Source organism: Homo sapiens, chromosome X, assembly GCF_000001405.40.
Source record: "Homo sapiens chromosome X, GRCh38.p14 Primary Assembly".
In the NCBI taxonomy this organism is placed as follows: Eukaryota; Metazoa; Chordata; class Mammalia; order Primates; family Hominidae; genus Homo; species Homo sapiens.
Window position 1 is genome coordinate 33,025,733 of NC_000023.11, and position 27,874 is coordinate 33,053,606.

Sequence of the window (27,874 nt, forward strand, 5' to 3'; positions counted from 1 at the left end):
TTCTTTTGTAAAGATGGGGTCTCCCCATGTTGCCCAGGCTGGTCTCAAACTCCTGGACTCCATCAATCCTTCTGTCTCAGCCTCCCAAAGTGCTAGGACTACAGGCATGAGCCACCACATTCGGCCTAGAAAAACATTTTTTAAATGATATTTCCTTGGGGGCTAGTTAATATGTTAATTGAAGATCTTCATCCCTAATGTGACACAGAAAATGTATCTTTAAAAGGGGAAGGGAATATTAAAGTTGATACCAGTTTAGAAACTCACGTAGTGAAGAAATGCAATGGGATGAGTTAATTTCACTTAAAGAAAGAACTATGAAGCCGGGCGCAGTGGCTCACGCCTGTAATCCCAGCACTTTGGGAGGCCGAGGTGGGCGGATCATGAGGTCAGGAGATCAAGACCATCCTGGCTAACACGGTGAAACCCCGTCTCTACTAAAAATACAAAAAATTAGCCGGGCGTGGTGGCGGGCGCCTGTAGTCCCAGCTACTGGGGCGTGAACCTGGGAGGCGCAACTTGCAGTGAGCCAAGATCGTGCCACTGCGCTCCGGCCTGGGGGACAGAGGAGACTCCGTCTCAAAAAAAAAAAAAAAAAAAAAAAAAAAAAAAAAAGAAAGAAAAGAAAATAAAGAACTATGAAGTAATATGGGAGAGCAATTAAGTTCAGTCTATTCTCTGCTTCCATCAAACATGAGAAAAAAATGAAAAATATGGAAGATTAATGATAAACATTAGATAAGGTTATGTGATATTTTGGAGCATTATAAAGGAAGGAAACAAATTTAGGACATATTTAGAAAGTGGATTTACTGTGCCATTAATATTACAAAATGGCAGTGCAGAGTGGAGGAGGCTGCAATGGAAAATGGTATGAAAAATGCTTTCTATTAAATCTGAGTAATAGTCTTTGATTATGGGATTTTTCTACCGCCTGAGGTGACGTTAGTGGTCAGCTTACAATGAGGAGGTCTAAAATAATTAAACTTCTGCACGAAGAACAGAAAAGCTGTTCATGTCAAAGATATTTCTTTATTTCCCATTCGCTTTACAGTCAATGTAATGCAGTCTTCACTGCTCATCATCCTACAAAAGTTGTTCTTAATAACATCACCTACATCCTTTCTCATTTCCAAGAGAGTGACTGTCTGGATCAGAGCTGTAATCCCAGCACTTAGCATAGAATGTGTTACATAGTAGTGCTCAATAAAGGTGTTTTAAGTTAACGAAGACCAGATTTACTTTTTAGTCCTCTTCTCATTTTTCTCCTCTGCAGATATTAATTCTATTAAACTCTGGTAGGCAGAATAATGCCTCCTCAAAAATGGCCACGTGCTAATCCCTGACATCTGTGAATAAATTATGTTACATGGCAAAGTGGAATTATTGCAGATAGAATTAGACTTTCTAATTAGCTAACTTTTGATAGGGAGATTATCCCAGATTATCTGAGTGGGCAGGATTTAATCACAGGGGTCCTTAAAAGGGGGGAAATGTTGGCATAAGGGGAGAATTAGAAAGCACTATGAGAAGGACTTGGTCCGAGGTGGCTGGTTTTGAAGATGTACGAAGAAGGCCGTGAGCCAAATAACGTGGGAATTCTCTAGAAAATGGAAAAGGCAAGGAGACAGATTCTCCCCTGGAGCATCCAAAAGTACACAGCCCTTCTGGCATCATGATTTGAGTCCAGTAAGTTCCAGTTTGGATTTCTGACCTGCAGAACTGTCTGAGAATAAATGTATATAATTTTAAGCCACTAAATTTGTGGTAATTTTATAGCAGCAATAGGAAACTAATAAATTACATTTCATATTTAAGGCTATTAAGTGACAAATGTGTACTGACACCTACTAGGTGGTAGAAAAACAACTGTGAGAAAGGCAGTGTCTCTAGCTTTTTTCCTTCTAGCTTAGTGAGAGAAGCAGACACAACAAAAGGGTATGTTGATACAAATATACAGATAAGTTGCCTGATGAAGAAACTACAGTCATGTGACAATCATATATTAAGGAAACTACCTTGAAAAATCCAGAGCTTCCTTGATGAAGTGACATCTCAGCTGAGTTTTGAAAGTTAATTAAGAGCAGAGAGACAAGTGGTAGAAAAGAGAACTCCAGAAAATCAAAAGAGCAGGTGAAAGTGTCAGGATGTGAGAGAAAGAGTATGGTCCTTTCCCAGACCTAGAGATGGTGGAGGAGGATAAAAATGGCAGAGATGACCCTAGAAAAAGTGAAATTATCATCAACCTATTTATGAAGAGCCTGAAAATATAGCCAGAGGGCAGTTCGAAATCAAAGCAGAATTTTAAGTAGGGAAATAGCAATGTCAGGCTTGGCTTTTAGAAATAAATTTCACAGTGTAGAGAATATTTGGGGATAAACTGTAAATAAGAAGACACATGAGCTGATTATACCTATAATCCACGTGAGAAGTAAGCATGACTTGCATTAATGAATGGCAGTGGGGCTGGAAAAGGAGTAGGTGCATTCAAGATGTGTTTACGGGGTAGTATTGGTAAGTACTAATTATTAATTATATGTGGAGTTAGGGGAGTTGGATCATGGATAATCAATGATAAAGCTAAATTCCCTGATGGAGAAACTACAGTTCTGTTACAATCATATATTAAGAGAACTAACTTGAAAAATCCAGAGCTTCTCTGATGAGGTTACAGGCTAGATTATTCAGAATGGCATATAAGGGCCTTCACAATTTGACTCCAGTGTACTCCTCTAAACATATTATCGATTAGGCCTGTTGGCAGTCACCCATATCCCAAACCTTATATACATCTACCAGGTCTGCCTTAGTCACACAAGCCAAATTTCTCCATAAATAAATCATATGCTTTCTTGCTTTAGTCCTTTGTTCATGCACTCCCTAGAATGAGGACACTCACTATTAAGATCTAGGTCGAATGTGAGGGTTTTCACAATCACACTTATCTCCCTGGCATAACTTATCAATCAATCCTTCTGATATATACATATGTGTAGGCTTTTTTCTAATTATGCATATGTGTTACACACATAAATACTTTAACTGTATGTGTATGGACACACAGATACTTTAATTGTGTGTGCATTATAATTTATAAAGTGATTTCAAATATCTCATCTTGCTTACACTCACACATACACACATACACACACACAAACAGAAAATTAGTTTGTTGTCTTCCAATAATGCAGCCCAAATCCCACTCATTACCTCCTAAATGTGACCACACTTAGATGGGAGAATTATTATGTCTTTGCAACTCCTGGCACCAAACATGGTATACTGAAGCAGAAATAGGTACTTAGTAAGGGTTTGTTGAATAAATCAAGTGACTAATCAATACTGTAATTAAATCTCAGATCTACTAAGTCCTAGACCAATGCTTTCCCCCTGCACTTCATCATACTGCTCAAACTACTCTGTTAATTATAGACCTTCTGTCACCAATTCATTTCCTAAATTATCCATTGAGCACCCATTAGACATAAAACTAACTTTCAATGACTTCTCCCCAAAATTTAGCCTTGGAACTGAAATATTGCTACTTATTTTCATCACTACAATGAATAAAAAATTAAGAGAAAGAATATTTCTTGCAAACAATCTGCCTTTATTTCTCTAGGTGAATTTCACTCTGTAATATGATATAATTGCCCTTTACTTCATCTTTCATGACTGTCATGCTTCTGACACAATGTAAAATGCTATGGATGACCTGTCTGTTCCTTTGCCTCCACTGCAAACGCCACTTCTTTCTCAGGTAGGTCAATTGCTTTTTTATTGTAGGGAGTTGTTGGACTCAGAAACCAGATTGGAAAGCCATGTCAGCTCATATTGAATAAAAGTTCTCTCCCATTCCCTGCCACTTAATCACAGAATTTATGCTCCATTAGCAAATTGGAGTTATGGTGAGAACCTAACATAATCGCATAGTTGTATATTCATAAAAATTGCAATGCTCTATACATTGGAAACATAGCACAAGTATTGTAGAAATATACTTGTGAAGAATTAATCGAAGTTGCATGAAGTAGGACATAATGACAATGAGATTGAAGAAATGTATTAGAGTGGAAGAATGATCAGAACTCCAAGAGTATATGAAAAGGTGTTAAGTGGTCTCAGTTGGAAAAACAGTGCCATCTGGTAGATTGTGCAAACAGTTAATTCTTATCCTCTTAAAATTGCATGTGTTAGATACAATGCAGGCCGGGGTTACATCATACACTCATTTCAGAGTCAAATAACCTGAGTTCCAACTCCAGTTTCACATCTCATTATCTCTGTGGCCTTGAGTAAGTTACTTAACCTCTCTGTGTCTCATTGCCTCTATTTGTTTCATGGTAATAGTAATAAAGATACTGAATTGTGAAGACTAAATGTGACACATGTATGACATATTAATGCTGAGAAAGAGAAAAAAATAGACAAAACCTATAAATCTTTACTTCCAAATATATTACAACTTCCCGTGGGTCTTCTGTATAAATGACATTATTTCATAAAATAGACACGATTGCTACGTGGCAGCCATGTTAATAATTAGTAGGATTTTTATAGTATTTGTAAATATGCAAAAAATTCAAGTCTTCTCGATTTGAAAGATAAAAACAAAATATGAAATGATATTCACATAAATTATACCTCCTCATGCTCAAAAGAATGAAGTAAGTTTTTAGTAATAATGGAAATAATGGATATTTCTGTGGTGCATTATAATTTATAAAGTGATTTCAAATATCTCATCTTGTTTAAACATGAGTATGTGGGTGTAGACTTGTTAGGAGTAAAAATAAGTTACTATTAATTAGTATGCAGACTTGAAATGTGCTTTGGTAGTGTTCATGAGAAAGATGACTTATTTTTGTTAAAGTAATAACCATAGACTAATTATGACAGAATAAATCAAAATAAGGTCAAGGTCTCCAGTGTAATTTAGAGGTGAAATTAACTACTTGGATATTGTAGCAGAACTGCTAACTAGATGCCTGTTTCCATACAGCTGCCTACTCAATATTACTTTTAAAAGATTCAAATTCTCCCCTGAAAATTTAAAAAAATACATTGTTCTGTGGTGTATATTTATCTATTTTTATGGGTTGCAAAATACTTCTTTGCAAACCAAAAGGAAAGCAAACAGCCAAATGTGCACGACACACAACAGCCATTTCCAAACATACTGTTAATGAGATGCTTTAGAAACAGACAAATGGTCAAACACAGGGCCTGGATTATAAGGGGATATTTAAATCACAAGATGTATTTACTCAACTTACACTATGGAGTAAAGGTTAATAAAATGGCATAGTAGATGAGGATAATGCCTCATCCCTTATTTCACCGAGCCATCCCTGAGTTCACCTATAACTATAGTGAACGGATTCTGTGGATGCTGAAGATTCCTCACCACAAGCATCCACATCTCTCTGTTTCTTTGTGTTAAGGCTTTCTTCAGTTTAGGAGGGCTTGGTAAGCCCATTTGCAGGGCAGTCCAGAAGTGATAGAGATTTAGTTCTCCCAGGGGCAACCCTCAATAAACGAGGGACAGAAGTCTATGTATTAAAAAGGACAAAAAAAAAAAAAAACAATGGAACAATTGCTAAGCATGCCCTGTAGGGCTCCTCAATTGTTGCATGGGATATGTAATCCAGAATGGCCCATAGGAGCATCGTTATTGTCTGCTCTCTGTAGTGGAATTTGGGCCCACATTTCTTGGCTTGATCATGCACTAGTTATGCAGTGTTAGAAAAGACTCATAGGCCGGGTGCAGTCTCTCATGTCTGTAATCCCAGCACTTTGGGAGGCCCAGGTGGACGCAGCATGAGGTCAGGAGTTCGAGACCAGCCTGATCAACGCAGTGAAGCCCCGTCTCTACTAAAAATAAAAAGATTAGCCGGGCGTGGTGGCGGACACCTGAAATCCCAGCTACTTGGGAGGCTGACGCAGGAGAATCACTTGAACCTGGGAGGCTGAGGTTGCAGTGAGCCAAGATCATGCCACTGCACTCCAGCCCCGACAGGAGTTCAAGACTCCATCTCAAAAACAAACAAACAAACAAACAAAACAAAGAAAGAAAAGACTCATAAGCCACACCAAACCCAAGATTTCCAGTCTGAAAAGAGGAAATAATCGTGGTAAAAAAACTCTTAGCTTCACTTTGATGAGGTATCCTGTAAAGCATCGAAAGTAGTCTTAAGCAAAGACTTAGTACAAAGTAAGTGCCAATAGAGATCAGTATTATTATTCCTGACTATATATTTAATTGCATTAGAACTTCTTGAACAAGTTGGTAGTTTACATTATTTGCTCATCGGTTTCTTTTTCTTCCTCCTTTCCACTTGCCATGGTTCACCATGGGTGGATTACACATCCCACTCACTGATGTGGCCTTGGTCATGTGACTTGCCTTGACCAGTGGAACACAGTCAGATATGAGAGTGTGTCAATTCTGAGCTAGGGGCTTAAGAATCATAAAGTGTTTTCACTTTTCTTGGTCCTTCCTCCCTTTGTCAGGGGAAGTACACGCCTCAGGTAGCCTCTGTTCCTAAAAGGAGAGATGCATAGAGCTGACCTGTACTCAATACAAAATTGAACCTGACATGTGAATAAGAAATAAATGTTTGTTCTTATAAGTCATTGAGATTTGGATTTGTTTTTTACAGAGCATTAGCCTATAATAAAGCTGACTAATATAGCAGGTAAATAGTAAATGTGGCCCATAGAATAAAATTCAATAATGATGGAATGTATATAACCTCTTCATTTAAAAAAGAGAGGGTTGTATTCCATCATTAAATTTAAAATAAGCTGAAGAATGGGTTTTAAATGAAGTATTAAAAGCTTTCCAAAAATTGCCCTTTCAGAATATATTATCTTTTAAATCTTGGTCTTTCTCCTTACCATACCATTCAAAATTTAAACATTAAAACAAGCAGGTTGTTCTCATACATGGCCAAGTATTAGCACAGACAGAAATCAATGTAGAAAACAATTTAAGTGGAAAATAAGTTTTAAGGAAATGCAGTGAGTTATTGTAATAGCAATGGTCAGTACTGAGCCTGCTCATTTCCACCTTGTGCCAAATACTGAAAGCACTTAAAACAGAAATAAAGTTTCGGAGTAATCATTCACTCCCTGTTCACCAAATACGGAAGTCTTAAGCCAGTGTTTATGAAAGATCAAGCCAAAAATTATAAATAGGAATGAAGGCCAAACATGTTTTCAGCACTGACGGGAAACTTTGCAGTCAGTAAAAGAACATTAGAGTCAGTCTTTTAGAAAAGGGTTTGGAAAATTATTACTGAGAATACAAAAGAAATCCTGGGAGCTAATCAAAAGAGGAGACAGTTTTGAGAGTTAATCAGGTGCCAATGCTAATAGATTATCCAAGTGGCAGAGCAAAGAAGGTCCAGAGTCACACAATCAATTTTTATTCAGCTTGAGTTGCTAATACTGATGACAAGTGGTTAACGACTGCTTCTTCCAAGATTCTTAATGAAAGACTTCTCTTTTCTCAGGTTTATTATGCCACTGGATTAAAAAAGGTATTTATTTCTGTACTAAGATCGGTGACAGGACTACACCGAGAACACGTCCCTCAGTGTACATTGCCAATAGATGAGTTTTGTCTATATCTTGATTGACTAATCATTTAATAGATGTGAGTGTAGGTTGGCATGCAAATTAAGTAACTTTTGGCCAGGCGCGGTGGCTCACGCCTGTAATCCCGGCACTTTGGGAGGCCGAGGTGGGCGGATCACAAGGTCAGGAGATCGAGACCCTCCTGGCAAACACGGTGAAACCCCGTCTCTACTAAAAATACAAAAAAAAAAAAAAACTAGCCGGGCGTGGTGGCGGGCACCTGTAGTCTCAGCTACTTGGGAGGCTGAGACAGGAGAATGGCTGAACCCGGGAGGCGGAGCTTGCAGTGAGCCGAGATCGCGCCACTGCACTCCAGCCTGGGCGACAGAGCGAGACTCCGTCTCAAAAAAAAAAAGCTCTCATACTAGCCTTATTGTTTGCACTTAGGTATCACTGAGTTGAACTTGTAGAGGAAAATATAACAGAATTACAAAAGATTTAGACATTGTAGAAAAAATTTGGATTTTTATTATATAAAACAAACAATAGATTTTGAGGTTTTAAGGGAATTTTCTGTTTCGAAAAACAGCATTTTAAGTATAGTTTTATTTCATCTTCATAAATTGTAAACTTTATTTTAAATTCTAGTCATTACAAAAGACTTTAAGTCAAATGGCAAATTGCTTTCCTCTATAGCCAATTTAAAATGTTTGAATGGTTATCTATATATACATATGTATTCAGGTTGTGTTCATATACATATTGTTATATACATACATAAGCTTCATACATATATAACATATAAAGTTCATATATGCATGTGTATAATTTTATATTCTGATATGAATATAAAATTCATGAATTGTAGCACACTGAAAACATTAGTTTTTGATTAGAGAACATTAAAATGATTGTAAAGTAGAATCTCCAGAATTTCCAAAGTTTGTAAATTGAAGACATTCGAATTTTCTAATTTAAAGATTTGATCATTCCGAGCGCCTACTAAACGAATTATAAAGGGAATGGCTTTCCTGAATTACAGTAATATGGTAGTTTTAGCTTTGAACCTGCCTATCTGGGTTCGAAAGGTAGTTCTGCTACTTATTAACAGTGTGCCTCTGTTTCCTCACCTGTAGAATAATGATAATAATATCGGTGTAGCTTTGTCATGAGCTTTGGATGAATGTTCCCACTTGAACCCTGGCTCTAACACTAACTTGCTCTATGGGCTTCTGTTAATCATTTAATTATGTGGAATACAATTTCCTCAACTTTAAAACATAGAATTTGGAAAAGATAATTTCTATGTGTTCCGCCAGTTCTAAAACTCTATCATCTGCTTCTTTATTCTAGGTTTTTGTTTGTTTATTTGTTTCTGCAGGATGCAGTTTACAGTCCTTGTTGGAGTATGCTCTGGAATCATACGGCCTGGATTTAAAGTCCAGTTTTGCCGCTTACTGGCTGAGTTTTCTCAATTTATTTACATAACTTTTCTTTCCTTTAGTTTTCTCATCTGTAAAATAGGTACTAAAATAATAACTATCTCATAGTGTCGTTGTGAGGACTAAATAAGCCATTATCTTTATATGGCATAGAAAGTGTCTGGCCCCAAATGAGTAATCAACATTGTTATTCCTATCCTGAAATCTATGGGCTTTCAATACGACTATGGAATAAACCCCTAAAATTGTGGGCAAAATTTTATGAGTGTGTATATATGAGAGTCCACAGTCATCAGCAGATTCTAAAAGGGCTCCATGGTTTGAAAAATGTTGGATGAAAAATATAGACATTATTCTGGCTCTTATGGATATTAATGATCTCTGTTTTACTTTTTTCTGGAACAGTGGCATTAACAGCAATAGACCTGTTTTTATTATTTTTCTTTACTTTGCTTTTTTTTACATGTTTATTTAAGAGATCTGCTCTTCATCTCTGTCACCATTGTACCATTCTTTTTATGGATATACACACAGTAATTGGCACTGAAAGAGGTATAATTATATACACTGCAGCTATGCCAGAGAAAGCCAGGGCTCCTTATCTGGCCTAGGGAATAAATAATGGGTTTTCTTCATATTCTCTTAGATATTACTCTTCAGCCACCTAGGATTGGGCACTATTTTTTTGTTGTTGTTAGTTTCTTGTGCTTCCATATACACAGATGCAGTTTCTTGTCACCCATTATATTGCAATGCCCTTTCTGAAAAGAGCCCAGCCTTTTTCTGTAATGTACTTTGACAGTAAGTATTGACATAATGTAATACAGTAATTGGAACTCAGAAAGATTTGTTTGCTACCTGACTGCTTAAGATATTTTAATGCCTTAATCGGACACATATTTTTAATGCACATTTTTCTTTAGTTAGAGCAGCCCATGTCATGAAGGAACCACTCAAATGTGGAATTGATGGTTTTCACAGGATATAAAAAACATCATGCCATACAAGAAACAAATCACTCCTTTCTGCATAGATACAGTGAATTCACAGCTTGGAAACCAGTATTTTCAAAGCGTGGTATGAAAGTGTCTGAGAATAAACTCTCAGCAGAGATCAGTAGAAATAACCAGTAACCGCTAAAAGAGGAACATTATTGATTGGCAAAGTAATCCAAAAAAGAGAAAAGATGTGTGTGAACTTAATACTAAATTTAGACAAGTATTCATTGATTAGGAAATCAAAATTCAAGATAAAGAAACATCTTCAGAGATTAAAAGTAGTCTTTCATTGTTTGAGTAACCTAGCTGAGGAGTCAAACTAAAACCAATAGATTGTAATTAGTATGATGCTTTAGGATAAAGTTGAATAAAGAGAGCGAGAGAGAGACAGAGAGACAGATGCATTATTTACCCTGATGTTTATACAATGCCAAGGTCAATTAATTTATAAATTAAATTTATGTTTATTAGCCAAATTTTAGAAACTAGAGAAAAAGTGAGTATTAAAAGCTTTAGGATTTAAAGTTTGATATATTTCCTTTGCATTTTCCTTGCATAATTGTAATTGCATTGCACAAGTAGTTAGACACCTTACTTTCTTCATTTAAAATAACAGGTTTTCCAATGTTGTTCAAACACAATTTAAATATCTAGAAGCATTGTCTTCTTTGTTCCCATAAAAATTACCGTTCTGCTTTTTTTTGGAACCTTGAAAAATGGTCTCATAATTTTTGCTATTAAAATAGTCTTGCAATTACTATCAATATAGATAAAGCCTCCACCCAAATGTGGGATTATTACCTTAGAAAAGAGTCTCAAAAATTATAATGGATTTAGGTGAAAAATCATCTCCGTAAGTTTTGGTACATATTTTCAAATTACTTCTCAAAAATTCCATATTAAACCACATTCCTACCTGTAATGGATGAAAAGGTCTATAACGTTGCATTGTAACCTACATTGAATACATTAAATAGAAATGTAATTCATATGTAATTCAATGTAATTCACATATATGTCTGTGTATGTCTATCTAAACATGAATGCATGTGTGTGTATATATATATATACATACATATACATATACACATACATACGTATGTATTTAAAGAATTTAGACTTGGGTCTTAGAATCAGGCTCTCCCTGAATCCTTCAACTGCGAGATATAAATATAAGGGAATGTTGGCAATCATGGTCTGCTACATGAGGAACAGCGGAAGCCAATCTGCAATAAAAAAGATAGTTTAGAGAGAAGGAGATGTGACAGAGAGTCCTGGAAGGTTTTGATTGCATTTTCTGAGGTGTACTGCAATTTGCCCTAACCTGCCTTGAGAAACATTTTAATCCTTAGAATAAACGTATCCTTTGGAATAAATTCCACATTTGATAAAGATAGTTCAAATTTGGTATAAGTTATTTGTAGCCAAGTGTCCTAATTAATACTCAAGTAATAAGTAGTTTACTGCTTAACAGTAGAATTAGTTCTATTTCATATAATTTTTCCATCTCTCATTCAGATGGGAAGTTGCTCTCCTTCCTCTTGTAAGGTCATGATGCTCTATATCTGCAAACTCAAGGGAGAAAAAGTCTCTTAACTTGAAACTATACAGGAAAAAAAAAAAACCCTGATGTCATTTCTAGTACTTAATTGGTATTTATCTGCCATAAACACATGAAGCTGTTTTGGTTTGTTCAGTTACCCTTGTCTGCATAGGGCCATTTAAACCCAAATTGGAATTGTCTCTGGGTTACTATCAGTGATAACAAGAACTTTCAATTCATGCCAATTATAGGAATTCACAAACACAGATAGGGGTGACCAAGGAATCCAACCAGAACTTTCTGTTTAGTTTCATTAGACTCAGACTTAATGAGAAAAAAAAATCATTAGCACTGAAAAACTTGTAAGTCTTGTTTAGTTTCTTGCTGAAATTTAAATAATACTGATTGTGTCTGTGATGGAAACTGGTAAAGAATAAAATGAATATTTAATTTAGTAAGGTATACAAAACAAAACATGAGAGGGAGCATAGCTATTCCTAAATGGAAAAATAAATTGGTATACTACAATAGGAAGTATGATTTCCTTTTAATATGTTTGTTTTATAGAAGTTACTAATTGCAGAAACCATTTTGATTTAACATCATCAATAAAATCAATGTGTGAACAATATCATTACATTCGAAAGATGACATGTCTAACAAAATGGCACTATCAATATATATGTATTTAAAGACAGTCTCCCTTTAACTTTGCTAGACACCAAAAGTTTAAATGCACAATGCCAAGGGCAGTTAAGTGTCAAAATACAAATGTATCTTAATATTTTATTTAAGGCTTCTATTGTTAAAAATAATGCATCTAACATAATAAAGAGGGTATTTGAAATTTCATATTTCAATATCCCCATGGTTTGCCATAGAAGACAAATATAAATACATGCATGAAATTGTGATTTTATTTTCTTGGTTACTTTTTGGTTACAGCTCATCACTTTGCATTAGTGCATACCTCCAAACCTCCAATAATCTCATATGCATCATTATAAGGAGATGAAAGGGATTAAGAAATAAGTTTAAGTCAGTGCATAGAATATTAAAAGTTCCTTTGCATCTAATATGAATGGAAGTGATTACTATTAATATAAACTCAATAATAAAATAAGCAAATGCCTGCTTTTATTTTCTCCTAATTAACAAGTTTAATCCTTTGCACTTAATGTTAGTTGTTTGCCCCGGAGCCCGGCATTGGTAGACATCTCACTGCTCATGGGCCATTCTTGTCACCTTGACTCCCAGCTCAACTTTGGGATGGATGTTTCAAACCACCTGCCTCGATGTGTTCAAACTTTGTGTGAGAGCATTTTTGAAGGAATGTAATTGAGTATGAATTATGTGACAGTAGATATGTGAATTTTGACTGAAAAGTTTTGTAAAACTTGAGAAATGAACCTTTTGGCTGGGCACGGTGACTCACATCTGTAATCCCAGCACTCTAGGAGCTGAGGTGGGTGAATCACTTGAGGTCAGGAGTTCGAGACCAGCTTGGCCAACATGGCGAAACCCCGTCTCTACTAAAAAACACAAAAATTAGCCGGGCATGGTGGCATGCACCTGTAATCCCAGCTACTCGCAAGTCTCAGGCAGGAGAATCGCATGAACCCAGGAGGCAGAAGTTGCAGTGAGCCAAGATCGCGTCACTGCACTCCAGCCTGGGTGACAGAGCGAGGCTTCGTCTCAAAAAAGAAAAAAAAGAAAAATGAAATTTTTTCTTCAATTTTATAGTAAATGAAGAAAACATTTCATTTCTCCGAAGACTATTTTGATTGACACCCGTAGCCTATGGGGGTTTCATATTCCCTCTTTTCCGTTGTTGGAGATATCATGGTTTAAATTTTTAGGAAGTATCTCAATCATTCATAAAAGTGTGAGTATTCTAAGTTACTTCAATGAGATACAAAATTTTGGAGCCCTGCTTCCATGTTTCAACTTCAAAAGTAGAAGTCAGTTCGAACTCCCTGGTGACTGCACTTGAGAATAAACTATCAGTCAATACCACACTCCTTATCTTTTCTTTTTCCTTCCTACGCCCACCCCACCCCACCCCACCAAACAAACAAACAAAACAAAAAGGCCAGGACAGCAGGTTCTACACTTTTGAATGCAATTTTGGACAGTGTGCCAAATCTCAGTTTCAACATCACAAATTAGGTTTCACAAATGGATTCTGAATATACAAAATGCTTTTGAGTCACCTTTTTTCTTCACCTTTAAATTAAAAGCTCTGAAATACAATGAAGTGTTTTCTTCAGCTTTTCATGACTTTTCCCATTGGGTGATTCACAGATAACAGGTCCTCAATACATTTTTATTAAATTCAATTTTTAAAATATCACTTATCTACTACGGCCTTTCTCTAATAAAAATAAGTATTATTCATTGTTTCCATCTAAAGTAAGGGTAACTGTAATGATTAACATGTCGAATGTGGATATCCCAAGAGGGTAAAATACTTACGCTTTCCATCATAATCAAGTTCCTCTTCTGCTTAGGATGTAAAAATGCTATATAAGAACGTTGCTCCACCCAATGAGAAAAAGCAGGGTGATCTATAAAAACGTATTATTTTTTGAGCCATTTATATAGCTGTGGCCACAAGGCAACGAGGTGAGCCAAAGTACTTCAATCTCCTCCAAGGAGAGACTGGATACATGAAAGGTTTACCTTTGGCAGGGAACTGGAGGAAGAAGTAGTCATCGTAGGAGCAGGAAAAAGAAAATAGCTCCAATTGTAAGGCATTCTTAAAAGTCAGGTGTGGGCTGGTATGACATTTCAGCATCCTTGGAAATGCAGACCGAAGGAGTCTGCACTCATTCTGGAATTCTTTTCCACAAACTTCTATTGGGAACTTGCAAAAAAGTAAGGCGTAGGACAAGAGATAGGAAGAAGCTCCCCTCAGTGACACACAAACATGAAGTCAAACCCATTTTCCAGACCCTCCTCTTCTAAAAGGCGTAAGATTTAAGGAAAGATACTAAACTGAAGGAAAGATACTAAACTCTACCACCCATGGGACCCGCCTGTTCAGAGGGGTTGGGGAAGGTAGAAGCCACTGAGAGAGGGTCAAGATACCCTCTTTGGAAGAGCAGTATGATAACCTCTTTGGCCCAGGATTCTGCACCAATAAAAACAGAATGATCTGTTACCACTAGGGGAGAGACAGGCATATAAGGCTTGCTGAAAACTGAGGATGGAACAAGAAGATAGAAATCCCTTTAGGACCGCAGACACTATTACATTAAGCACGGGATAGCAGCAGCCCATCAGTGGAGGTCTTTGAAGACTGTAGTGTTCTGAAGGTTGCTACAGCAACAACAACCCCCGCCCCTCCAAACCAGCTCAATACTAACACCACTGACTCAAACCCCATACTAGCAGTATGACAGAAAAAAAGCTATACCTATTTCCAAGATTAAACATATTTACCTCATTCTCTATTTTTCTTCTATACATGACATCTAACATTCACTAAAAAGAAAATGAGACTTGCAAAAAATAAATAAAACTAAGCAAAATACACCCATTATCAAGAAGTAAAGCCATCAACATAACCAGACTAAGAGATAACCTATATGCTTGAACTAACAGACAAGGACTTTAAAATATCTCTGACTGATAAGATAAGGAATAGATTCATCTAGATACTAAAGAAAACATCCAAAACTTTCACAAACAGATGGGATGTTTCAGCACAGTGATGGAATCTGTAAAATGATGCAATGGAATTGCTAACAATAAGCAATAATCAACTCAAAATGTTAATGTAGCAATTGCAAAATTATTTCTATTATAAAAAATGTTAAATTACAAAGAGAATAACAGTACCTTAAAATGACACATAATTTAAAATACTACAGATGTTAATATTGGAAAAATTGTTTACCAATGTTCACACCTGAGTACTCAATCCTTTGATGGAAGGTATGACACTATAATGATTTATTATAAAAACTCCTTAAGTGGCCGCGCAGCCTGCGCATGCGCGCCGGCGACCAAGCCTAAATAGCTACCGCCTCTGCGCGTCGCCCTCCACGGTTACCCCGGCTTTCCGCCCCTCCTTCTCGCGGGGCTCGAGGGACCATGGCCGATCCTCGCGTGAGACAGATCAAGATCAAGACCGGTGTGGTGAAGCGGTTGGTCAAATAAAAAGTGATGTATGAAAAAGAGGCAAAACAACAAGAAGAAAAGATTGAAAAAATGAGAGCTGAAGATGGTGAAAATTATGACATCAAAAAGCAGGCAGAGATCCTACAAGAATCCCGGATGATGATCCCAGATTGCCAGCGCAGGTTGGAAGCCGCATATTTGGATCTTCAACAGATATTAGAAAGTGAAAAAGACTTGGAAGAAGCTGAGGAATATAAAGAAGCACGTTTAGTACTGGATTCAGTGAAGTTAGAAGCCTGAAACTTTTCTCGTATGGGGTGGTTTTTGCATTAAATCCTGGGGTCCATTTTACAATCCATTATTTTTGACCACTGCGGTGTGTTCAAGTAGTATGAGAATGTGATTGTTTTTATCTGGTTACATATATATTTCTTTGTCTAATTTAATATGTCAAATAAATGAGTTCATCTAAAAAAAAAATCCATACGTGATGTGTGGTTTATATTTGTAACTGCCTATATGATATATATTCTTACCCCAACCCCATCCCATCATATAGATAAGAAAATGCTACTTATGTGCTCAGGTTTACACAACTCTTAGATGTCTCTGACTACAAAGTCTTTGTTCTTTTTAATGTACCTCTATGCCTCTCATACTTTAAAATTGAAATAAATTAATCTACTGCTCCAAATGATCAATTTTCCATGGAAAAAAAAGAGAACTTTTGTAATTGTAACAACCTCTGCTATATGACTAAACACTGAGCCATGAGGTGGGCTGCCAGGTAAATTGGAAGGCTTCATCTAAAAAGTACAAGACTGTGAGGCATATTCCCTTCTCAACAGCCTAGGATGATTGGATCTACCCATTCTGTCACATTTTCAATATATAATTCCTGTTCAAACTTTCTATTAATATATCATTTCAAGTTTCATTGATAGTCCTAAAATGCAACACAAAAGACGAGCAGATGATTTCAGCCATTCCAATTTGCAGCCTTTTGTAGAGGGGCATCAATAGATTTTACTGTACTTGCATAAAGCCCTAGTTGTTCTTTTCCTATTCTATCATTTCTGGATTGGCGAATGGGATAAAATGTTCAGGAAAGAAAAAACAAATCTCAACACAAACGTGAATGTCATTGAAAGCTAAAAAAGTAAACAAAGTTAATGATCACACCCGTAAGTGCTACTGATTTTTCATTGAACTCAGAGGAGAAAGTTACTGGATTCCCAAAAGTAAGTGAAGGGTATATGTTTGCTAAATGCATTCACAGCCTGTTGCTCTAATTATTTGAGGTTTTTTATGTGTTGTTGTTTTAGCTGTTGTTTGTGTTTTTTATTCTTTCTGCATTTTTCTTCTACTGTACAGTTGTTATTCATGCTATGAGTTATCTAAAGTTTACATTAATAATCAAATTCCTTGCACCATCCCAACTCTGAAACACACAACTTGGATGGAGATTAAGACTCATTCAGGACTCAGGCAGACATCCTTAGTACCCAGAACCACAACACAGCACACACGAATGCATGGTTCTATAATTATTTTATGGAGCATCTATGAATTTGCTATGCACCGGACCCTGGGAAGTCAATGTACAGTGGTCAACAAAAACAATTCAATTGTATTAATATTTAGAAGCCACAAAATGCAAATATATTCTTTTTTAATTTGAAGCTTGTTATTCTTCTGCACAATCTATAGCTCCTATTAGAATCATTAAAGTACATTCAGCAGCAGTAACAAACGAACAGGGAAAATGTGAACATGACAAAAGGCTGCCAGAGTAACACGGGTGACAAATGTGGGAACATTTTAGAATTCCCAATTTCCCACTCTAATAAAATAATATGAACAAAAAGGCTTTTTTTAGTAGCTTCAACTGAAACTATCACCTGATCTATTTCTTAAAATCCTCACGAAGGTTTCACTGAACCATTAGAGGTTTGGGCAGTCAAACAAATTAAACATGAACCAATCTTTTTAGAATGACTACTGAAGTGCTCAGTATTTCCAGCCTTCCAGTTACCACAGTGAAAGAAACAAACAGGTACTTGTCAGGTTTATAAGGGAATGATCTATTTTCTGCCCTTTTTTGCCTACTCTTTAAGGAAAACACACACACATATGCATGCAAGCATACACGCATGCACAAGCAGAACACAAATTTAGAAGCTATAGAGAAAATAAATAGAAAACAAAGAAGTTTTGACAAAACCAAACTGTCTTTACTTTTAGATTATAAAAACAATCAACTCTTTTTTTTATTATTATACTTTAGGTTTTAGGGTACATGTGCACAACGTGCAGGTTTATTACATATGTATACATGTGCCATGTTGGTGTGCTGCACCCATTAACTCGTCATTTAACATTAGGTATATCTCCTAATGCTATCCCTCCCCCCTCCCCCCACCCCACAACAGGCCCCGGTGTGTGAGGGAATTAGAATTTTGTAATTCATTTGGGTAGAGGAGCAAAAGGTATATATTAGGCTCAACTTTTCAGTCGGTGATGAGAGACAAATGGCCTGCCATCCCTGCCCTCTCTCACCTACCCCAGTTAATCTAAATCTGCAAAACGAAAGGAGCTTCCACTAGGCCAGAGGGGCTGCAGGATGGGAAAACAATCAGAATGGAACACTTTCATGGGCGTTCCTACAGACCAATTTGCTTCCAGTCAGCCCATTTAATTTCATATTTATGATTGTTTAAAAGAGAGAGCCCAGGCGCAGTGGCTCATGCCTGTAATCCCAGTACTTTGGGAAGCCGAGGCAGGTGGATCACTTGAGGTCAGGAGTTCAAGACCAGCCTGGCCAACGTGGTGAAACCCCGTCTCTACTAAAAATACAAAAATTAGCCGGGCGTGGTGGTGCATGCCTGTAATCCCAGCTACTAGGGAGGCTTAGGCAGGAGAATCACTTGAACCCGGGAGGAGGAGGTTGCAGTGAGCTGAGATCGCACCACTGTACTCCAGCCTGGGTGACAGAGCAAGAGTCAGTCTCAAAAAGAAAGCAAGGAGGGAATGGGACAATTCATAAAAGCAAGCCCCAGCAGTTCTAGTTAACTGTGAACTGAACCAGTAAGATGCACATTGATTTAACTTCGGAAATAATTTATGTGCTGGTTTCTTAAATGACTGCTACATATTGCCTTCTTACCTGACGATGGAGTGCAGAATATGGGGACAAAAATAAGAGCAATTCCAAGGAAATGCTTTATGCCCGAGTGCTAATTCAGAACCATACTGAAAAAGGAGATGCAAGAGAATGCTCAGCGTAGATTCTAGGCCATCCTTAAACAATCCAGAGCTGAAGAGCCGTATTCAGAGATAAATTTATTCTGCGTTCAATGTTTCTTGACCTACTTCTCGTAAGGAAAATTCTGCCTGAATACCAGAAGGAATTCATTTTTCACTTTAGCTTGAAATTTACCTTAAGATAAAACACAATAGTTGTATAAAAATATGCCTTATTTGGTTATGCATATAAAGCAGACCCAAGAGGATTTGGGGTAAAATATTTCATAAGTTGTACTATGCATGAATATAAAAAATGAGAAACAAAAGGATAGTTAGTAAAAGGCTGTTCAGTCCCAAATAAAGGAGTAATTGTTGATATGCTAAATAAAAGGGGGGTGGGGAAAGTCCTTTTTTTACAAGGGAATGTGAGGAAGGGAACTCACATTTGTTGAGGCTGTATTTTGCATTTAATCCTCACAACTAGGCTGAGAACAAACATTAGGCATTTTATTTCCCATTTACAGATTGTAAACCTGAGGCAATAGGATTAGTTGCCTGTGATAACAATTCACATGTTGAGAATCATAATATTATAGGCCTCCACCACCTAACAATGCCATCTTCAGAACTACACACACACAGGTGCGTACACACACACACACACACACACACAAGTATTTCGTGAGATTGTAACCACATTCTTAAGTTCCATCCTTTGCAAGTAAGGTAAGTTAGGCACTGTTTCCTCACTGCCTTAGGGTTGTTTATAAATACAGAGCTCTTGAATTACAAAATCAACTCTTGATTTCACTGACAGAGGTCAACTGCTTTTAGTGTAAGTGAACCATGATTCTGGCATAAACAGATATAGAAGAATCCTGTTTAAAAGTTTTTACCTGCTCTAGGTGCCTACCAAGAGAAGAAGAGGGGGAAGTTGAGAGAGTTACAGATAAGTGAGAGCTAGAAGCCGTGTGGGGGTGTGGGGAGGGTCCTGACCCTCTGACACACACACACACACCTTTTCAAATAAGAGGAACATTATAATGTCCTCTTAGGGAACCAAAGTCCTAAAGAAGAGAAGGAGGTTCTGGAGCTGCTGAAAAATAGTGCCCAACCAGAGCAAAGGGACTGGGCATGTAGATTAGCCTCACAGGGGTCTGAGCATCTCATCAGGTTTGTGATAAGCAGCTAACATGTGTCGGTGCTTGAGAAGGTCATGGAAGTTAGGAGGAGCAAGCTGGCAGTCTTTCAAGGGTGTGGTAATCAGGACACAGACACCCCAAATCCTGGAGGCAGAATAGGCAGTTCAACTAAGGGCGGGATGCAGGTACTGGTTCACTTCAGCCAATGCCTGCATGCAAAGATCTTCTTCCCCACAGACCACATTGGATGTCACATCTCTGTGTGTCCTTGACCTAGAATCAGAAGTTGGCCCTGATGCCATGAAGCTAAGTAATACTCCTGTGTTATTCCAATCCTAGAGTGGAGGCTAGAGTCCTAACAACTCCTGAATGTGACCGGTAGACCTGAAAAGTCACTGAATTTTATTAAGATTTCCTGAGAATGGTATATTAAGAAACCTGTTAAATTAAAAGAGGAACCAAAATAGAAATTTAATTTAGCTATAGAAAAATTAATAAAATACCATTTTTAGCCCACTTAAATTTGTGTGATACTGAAATTTTTTTTTCCTGCTACAGATGTATAATTTAGTGCAAAGGTGTAGGGCCCAAGGCTTCACTGTGAGGAATGTAAATGTGCTCCCCAAAATAATTTATGATTTTGACTAATGTCTGCACAAAATACTATAGTCCATAACAGGTTTCAAATCTTATAACAACTATTAATACTATCAACATGTAGAAATAAGAAAACTGAGGCTTAGAGTGGTTGGACTCTATCCATTGATTGCCCAGGATAACATCAAGTGACTGACTGGGGGCTCAAAATTGTTCTCCTGATTGTAAATATCAATCCTGTTTCCTATACTTGTCCATATACTTCCTGATGCCTATTTGGTGCTCAATAACTTTTAGATTGAGTAAAAGAATGAACAAAAACATGTATTTATTTAGTGCCCGGAAGGGGCATAGCAAATAATTGATATCCTTTCCTATCTCACATAGCATTCAGTACAGCAAAGTAAGCAAAATTGAGGAGGGAATTTTAATAATGTTGAACATCTACAAATTGCTAGACACTGAGATTTTTATGCACTTTTTAAGTTTAATCTTCGTGTTAATCCACATTACATATGAGGAAATGGAGAGAGAATATAGTTTGTCAAGGTAATGGCCATAGTCCATATAATTTGAGTGCTTACTATGTGCCACCTACTAAACACTTTAAACACATGAACATACTTCATTTTCACAGACCTTGTAAGAGAGGTACTTCTCTTGACCCTATTGTATGGATAGGAAACAAAGCTTAGCGAGGTTAAGTAACTGCCCAAGTTCATATAGCTACTTTGCAGTAGATGAGCACAAATTGAAACTCATGCTTCTCTAACTCCATTATTAACCCAATAGCAGGTGCTGAAAATCACTGATCGTGTTGCTGACAAAGGAGAGTAAACAATAGCCACATAATAATACTATCTAAGGGAACATTACTGATGTACCTAGATTTTTTAAACTTTCTTTTATTTATGAAAATAAAAATGAATATATTCGATTGTATTTTCATTCTTCCCTCTGTTTGTGCCACTTTAAACACTGGTGCCTCCCTTCTCTTTGACCCAAATACTCAAAACAGGTCACACATTTAAATATGGCAAGCCCTCCAGCCCTGCAAATGATGGACTATAAAATTTGTTTGTACTACTGGCGATTTTTTTTTAAAAAAGCTTATGCACACCTACTTTCATATTTTTAGGTTGGACAGTACCTTAGAAATAAAAACAAAAATTAAAACAGATCTTTATCTTTTAAAAAATCTATTTTCCAAAAGGAAACAAATGAATTATTTTTGTCTTATTATTACCATATAGCTTAAAAATCAATTACCTGAAATCATTATCATTCAAATCTTTAAAACAAGGCACTTAAATGTTTAATCTTTTTTAAAAACTTAGCCAATGCAAAACTGCTTTCCTCCAAAACGCCCTCAGAATTACCTGCTTCTCCTGCACTCTTAGTATCCCCAAGTTATTGGCAGTGAATAAAAGTGTAAAGGAAATGAATCTTGCAATTCTCTGTGAATTTCATTCCAAAAAAGAATTTTAGGCATTTTGATGAAGCGATGTAGGGATTAGTTTTAAATAGGGATCTCTGATTTGTGTATTATTTTCACAATTTGTAAACTTACTTTCTTCCAAAAGTGATTTGAAATAAATATTCTGAAACACTGAAGATCAATGGAAGCTAAGAATTAGAAATGCTTATACAAATCTATTAAACCTAACTGTATATATGCATATAATATTTTTGTTAAGAAACATAGAATTCTTTAGAATAATTCAATTTTATATAATTATGGATACAGACACATAGATTCACATTGTAATGTTTATTCAGATTTTGTGTTTATTTGTTGATTGTTCAGGCAAACGGAAACTGCATTTGGTGTCAACAGTTGCATTTCTTTATATTTATATTAGCTGGTTAGCTGTGCTGGCAGAACTAAAGGAAACCTGTCCATAGAGCCTTACGTAGTCGTAACTACAACACAATCATGTGTCACAAATTTATAGCACAGCAGACCTTTACACTGAAAATTGTTTAGAGAAAGAAAAATTCGACTGGGAGCGGTGGCTCACACTTGTAATCCCAGCACTTTGGGAGGCCGAGGCGGGTGGATCACCTGAGGTCAGGAGTTCAAGACCAGCGTGCCCAACATGGTGAAATCCCGTCTCTACTAAAAATACAAGAAAAATTAGCTGGGCATGGTGGCATGCACCTGTAGTCCTAGCTATTCGGGAGGCTGAGGGCAGGAGAATCGCTTGAACCCGGGAGGTGGAGGTTGCAGTGAGCCGAGATCATGCTACTGCACTCCAGCCTGGCTGACAGAGCGAGACTCCCCATCTAAAAAAAAAAAAAAAAAAAAAAAAGGAGAGAGAGAGAAAGGAAAACTTGAAAAATGAATGAGAACTGGTAAACAACTGCAGGGAAAGTAATTACCACACTCTTCATATGGCAAACTAAAGAAAGGGGGCACCGCAAGAAAAGTATTGCCAGAGCTTGAAGGGCAGAATGTGTAATTAGGATGTGATATCTGGCAGTGGTGATTCCAATCATTGGGGATTAAAACTGTATCTCAACTTGTGCTCTTTCTGTTGCTTTAGGGCCAGTGTATTCACTCAATCTTCCATGATATCTATATGGACTCACTGAACCTCAGATCTTAACTTCAGTTGAGCAGAACTAGTCTTCTCTCTCTCAGACCAAGGAAGGCATAACTTGTGTTCCATGAAGCCTACTGTGTCAAGTCTGCCAAATGAAACTTTAAATATGTAGGCATTGTCTACTTAGCCTGAACACTAAAAAGAGTCCTTTCTACAGTTCCCAAGGATTTGTTTGGTTGCAATGTTTCTAAAGTCAGTACAGAAACTTCCCTGAAAATGGAGCTCCAAACTTATCACGATTTTCATCCTGGAATGTATTTAGGTTTGTATCCCTCGACGTGCACCACTCAATTGACGTCACATACTTTTTACCTGAAATTTATTTCAGTTTCTCAGAAGACTGTATATTTCCCCAGTTACAGATTTTACTATTCCTTAAATATGGTGGCTGCCACTTTCTTAACCTACAGTATTAATGGCAGAAATGCTTAGATTTATAAAAGGCAAACATGGGGAAAAGAGAGACAATATTAAATTCAAGTCTCTCGAAAGGAAAGGAAAAGATAATGAAAAAGCAATGTAAAAAATGAGAGATAGGTGGGGCAGGTTTAAGATGCCATTGAATCTCTGCATAGACTGCCTTTTTTTTTGCTCTAAATACTAAACTTGCCTAAATTAGGCCACCTCCCTCCAGAGAACAAAAGGAAACTTGGCCACTATGGAATAGTACCAAAGTGAATTTTTAGAAGCTATTATTACCCACTCATAATCTATATTTTTGAAAATTAATATATATGTATATTTGTAATTATCAATATTAATACGAAGCAATAGGGTCAACATGAACTTGGATACTTCTGTTAAGTTCACTTAAATATTGAACTAATCTAATCACTTCTCATTTTTTCTTTAACCAAATATGTAAATTCAATATAATTGACTTAGTTCTCAAATTGGTTCAATAAAGTGTTCCCACAGTATTTGCAAATATATTCGTCTTTAGAATATTCCTCCTTAACCTTTTTAAGTAGAAATTAAAATAGAAATATTAAAACGTGTATTTAAAAGTGGTCTTTTCTCTTAACAGACATTTACTTTTTCTTACATGAATTGGTTTAGTTTTTTTTTCCAGCACTGAAACCATTCCAAAAAAAACTGTAGAAAAGAGTGAATATTTATTCTATTGGATGTTTGTTATGTTTGCATAATAACTAATTAGTGAATTGAGGCCAACTTTGATCAAAATGTTTGCTCTGAATAGATATTTGCTAATAAATAATTTTTTCATGTGATAAGTGTGTAATAATAAGTTCTCTATGCTGCCTTGCTTTGATAGAATATTCAGACAACATTTATAAATGACTAATTCAAGGAATTAAAAGGTCTTAAGTGCCCCAGAATGTAGAAATGGAATAAACATGTGGTAGTGGTGAGGGTGGGCTAGAAATGATTAAACTAGATTTTTTTTAAAAAAAGAAGCAAAAATACCGCTGGAAAAAATGCACGCAGAATAAATGTCATTATGAAATATTCTGAACGTGTGTACTTGATTTTCCTTCATCACGGCTTCATTTTGAGACGTCCAGGTCAACCACTGTCAACCAATCAATCTCTAGCCTCTTTGAGCAGAGATCAAGGGCAACAGCAGAGCCTTAATGATTTCAACCTCTAGCCTTCAAGGGCACAGATTACAGGGACTGAAAGTAAATCAGTCCATCACAAGGCACTTCAGCCCATAGCCCATGACAAAGCTTGATTAGAATGGAAAAGTGTTAAGCCATCAAAAACAAGACACAGCTATAAGGAAAGAGGAAATATAAGGCTAATGAATTTTAGTGTTCATAACAAGATAAAAATGTGTTTCTCAATACCTGTGTAGCCATTTAGAAATCTAAAGAGCAAGAAGAAAATTATGATAGAACATTCTGAGCAATTTCTTCCTCTTTTCTCAAGAGCAGAATTGAGATAGACTTAGATGTCAAGTCTACCCATTCTTCTAGGCCGTTCTCAGACCCATTTTCAAAAAAACAATAAATCCAAAAGCCAAAAGCAATAAACTTGTTTAAATACTGAAGTTCACATGGTGCTCATGTTTTCAGAAATCCACTTACACTTTACACCCATAATGTAAGTAACGTACCCTTTAAATATTTAACTGCTCACTAATGTTTTTATTTGCATATCATTTCTTTTTAAAACTAGATAACACACACTTTTTTAGCAGATATCTTTGGATCTTCACTATCTCAACTGACTTTTCTTTTTTTTTTTTTTTTTGAGACTGAATCTCCCTCTATCGCCCAGGCTGGAGTGCAGTGTTTCAATCTCGGCTCACTGCAACCTCCTCCTCCTGGGTCCAAGCGATTCTTCTGCCTCAGCCTCCTAAGTAGCTGGGATTAGAGGCACCCACCACCACGCCTGGCTAATTGTTGTATTTTTAGTAGAGAAGGGGTTTCATCACGTTGGCTAGGCTGGTCTCAAACTCCTGTCTTCAAGTGATCCACTGGCCTCTAACTCCCGAAGTGCTGGGATTACAGGAGTGAGCCCCTGCGCCTGGCCTCAACCGACTTTTTTAGACCACAGGTAAATGTTAGTTTTACTTAATGATTGTAATTATTTTGATATACTCTATATGGAAAATAAGGAAAGTATTTTTTCCCTTTTAAAATAAGGAAAATATATAATTACGCTCTATTTTTTTTTTTTTTTTTTTGAGACGGAGACCGGCTCTGTTCCCCAGGCTGGAAGTTCAGTGGCACGATCTCAACTCACTGCAACCTCCGCTTCCTGGGTTCAAGCAACTCTCCTGCCTCAGCCTCCCAAGAAGTTGGGACTACAGGCAAGTGCCACCACGCCCAGCTAATTTTTGTATTTTTAGTAGAGACGGGGTTTTACCATGTTGGCCAGGCCAGTCTCGAACTCCTGACCTCAGGTGATCTGCCCGCCTCGGCCTCCCAAAGTGCTGGGATTACAAGTGTGAGTCACCGCGCCCGACCTAAATATCCTTTAAATCTAGTGTATCTATGTGACTATAATGATGAGAAGTCAGGATGCCTTCCCTACAGCTAAACAAAGACTTTTCTGAAATGTATATTTGGAGACCCAGAATTTCACCTTATTTGAATGCAAAACACTTAGAGGAAATAAATCTTAATAGAAATGATTTTTACAGCATTTCGAACACAAGAATTGTAGTTTAAAATATTGTTCTTTAAAGCTATAAGTAAACCAATGTTTCCAAACTGTTTTTTCTAGAGCAAAATTTCCTAGAACCAAAATAATCTTGAAATTTTAGATTAAACAAAGCAAAACAGATTAAATCACCTCCAAGTTTCTCAGAATCTTCAACATACAAATGGCTGTTAATATCTCAAAAAGGAATAAAAACTGTTTTTCCAAATATATACGAGAATGACTTTTTTTCTCCCCTAGAATTAGCTATTGATGCCAAGCTCAGTGTTTCTCATATAGTTTAAAACACACGGAAGTAAATTTGCTGTTCCCTTATAAACATATCCTGATAATATGGAAACATTTATTCAACTAACTAATAACAAAACAGGCAACAAATTAAAACTGATTCAAAGGGGAATTCAAGGGACTGAACACACATAGTCACAGAAAGAAAAAGAAGCTAGAACAAGATTGCTAAGTTAGAAACAAAACAGATTAACATCAAAAAGTGCAATAAAATTATATATTTTGAGGGTGCCAGAAAGATATTACTTGTCTCTCTACTGAACAAAAATGTGTACATTTATGTAAAATTTCTCAGAATCTAAGCCCTAATCAATAGTAAATACTATAGGGTGACTATAGTCAATAATAACTTACTTGTACATTTTTAAATAACTAAGAGTATAACTGGATTGTTTGTAACACAAAGGATAAATGCTTAAGGTAATAGATGCCCCATTTATTCTGATGTGATAACTATGCATTGTATGTCTGTATCAAAATATCTCATGTGCTTCCAAATTATATGCACCTACTATGTACCCACAAAAAAATTATCTTTTAAGTTAGTACTAAGTTATACAAAGACGCATGTCCCTAACAAATTAAACTATCTGTCGGTAGATCTTTTAGACAATACTTTTTAGTATGATAATAAAAGAACATCTACTTGTTCTTTTGCCTTATTTCCAAGTTTTAGAGTTTAACAAGCTTGAATGTGTCATAATTACTCATTTAATTACTCACGTAATTACTTAAGTGTCAGGCATTGTGCTGGGGACTAGGGAGATGATAGGGAACTGGATAAATGCCCATACTTTTTAGAAGCTTACTAATGAGGGATAATGACATGTAAACAGGAAATTGCAAAGTGGTTTGATGTATGTTAAAACATAGTTACTGTGGGCCGGGCGCGGTGGCTCATGCCTGTAATCCCATAACTTTGGGAGGCTGAGGCGGGCGGATCACGAGGTCAGGAGTTCGAGACCAGCCTGGCCAATATGGTGAAACTCCGTCTCTACTAAAAAAATACAAAAATTAGCCGGGCATGGTGGCACGCACCTGTAGTCCCAGCTACTCGGGAGGCTGAGACAGAAGAATCGCTTGAACTCGGGAGGCGGAGGTTGCAGTGAGCCGAGATCACACCACTGCACTCCAGCCTGGGTGACAGAGCAAGACTCCATCTCAAAAAAAGAAA

The 27,874-nt window shown here is 36.8% G+C and overlaps 1 protein-coding gene and 1 pseudogene across 17 annotated transcripts in view, besides 1 other annotated feature; one reads left to right on the forward strand and one right to left on the reverse strand.

Annotated features, from left to right (window-relative positions):
- Positions 1 to 27,874, reverse strand: part of DMD (dystrophin) — a 2,220,167-nt gene that overhangs the window by 1,906,511 nt on the left and 285,782 nt on the right.
- Positions 15,574 to 16,074: an enhancer, noted in NCBI's record as "H3K4me1 hESC enhancer chrX:33059423-33059923 (GRCh37/hg19 assembly coordinates)". NCBI's record gives its function as "activates a minimal SCP1, AML or CMV promoter by ChIP-STARR-seq in primed H9 embryonic stem cells {active_cell/tissue: H9 hESC(primed)}" and the evidence as "EXISTENCE:reporter gene assay evidence [ECO:0000049][PMID:30033119]".
- Positions 15,581 to 16,166, forward strand: TBCAP1 (tubulin folding cofactor A pseudogene 1; annotated as a pseudogene).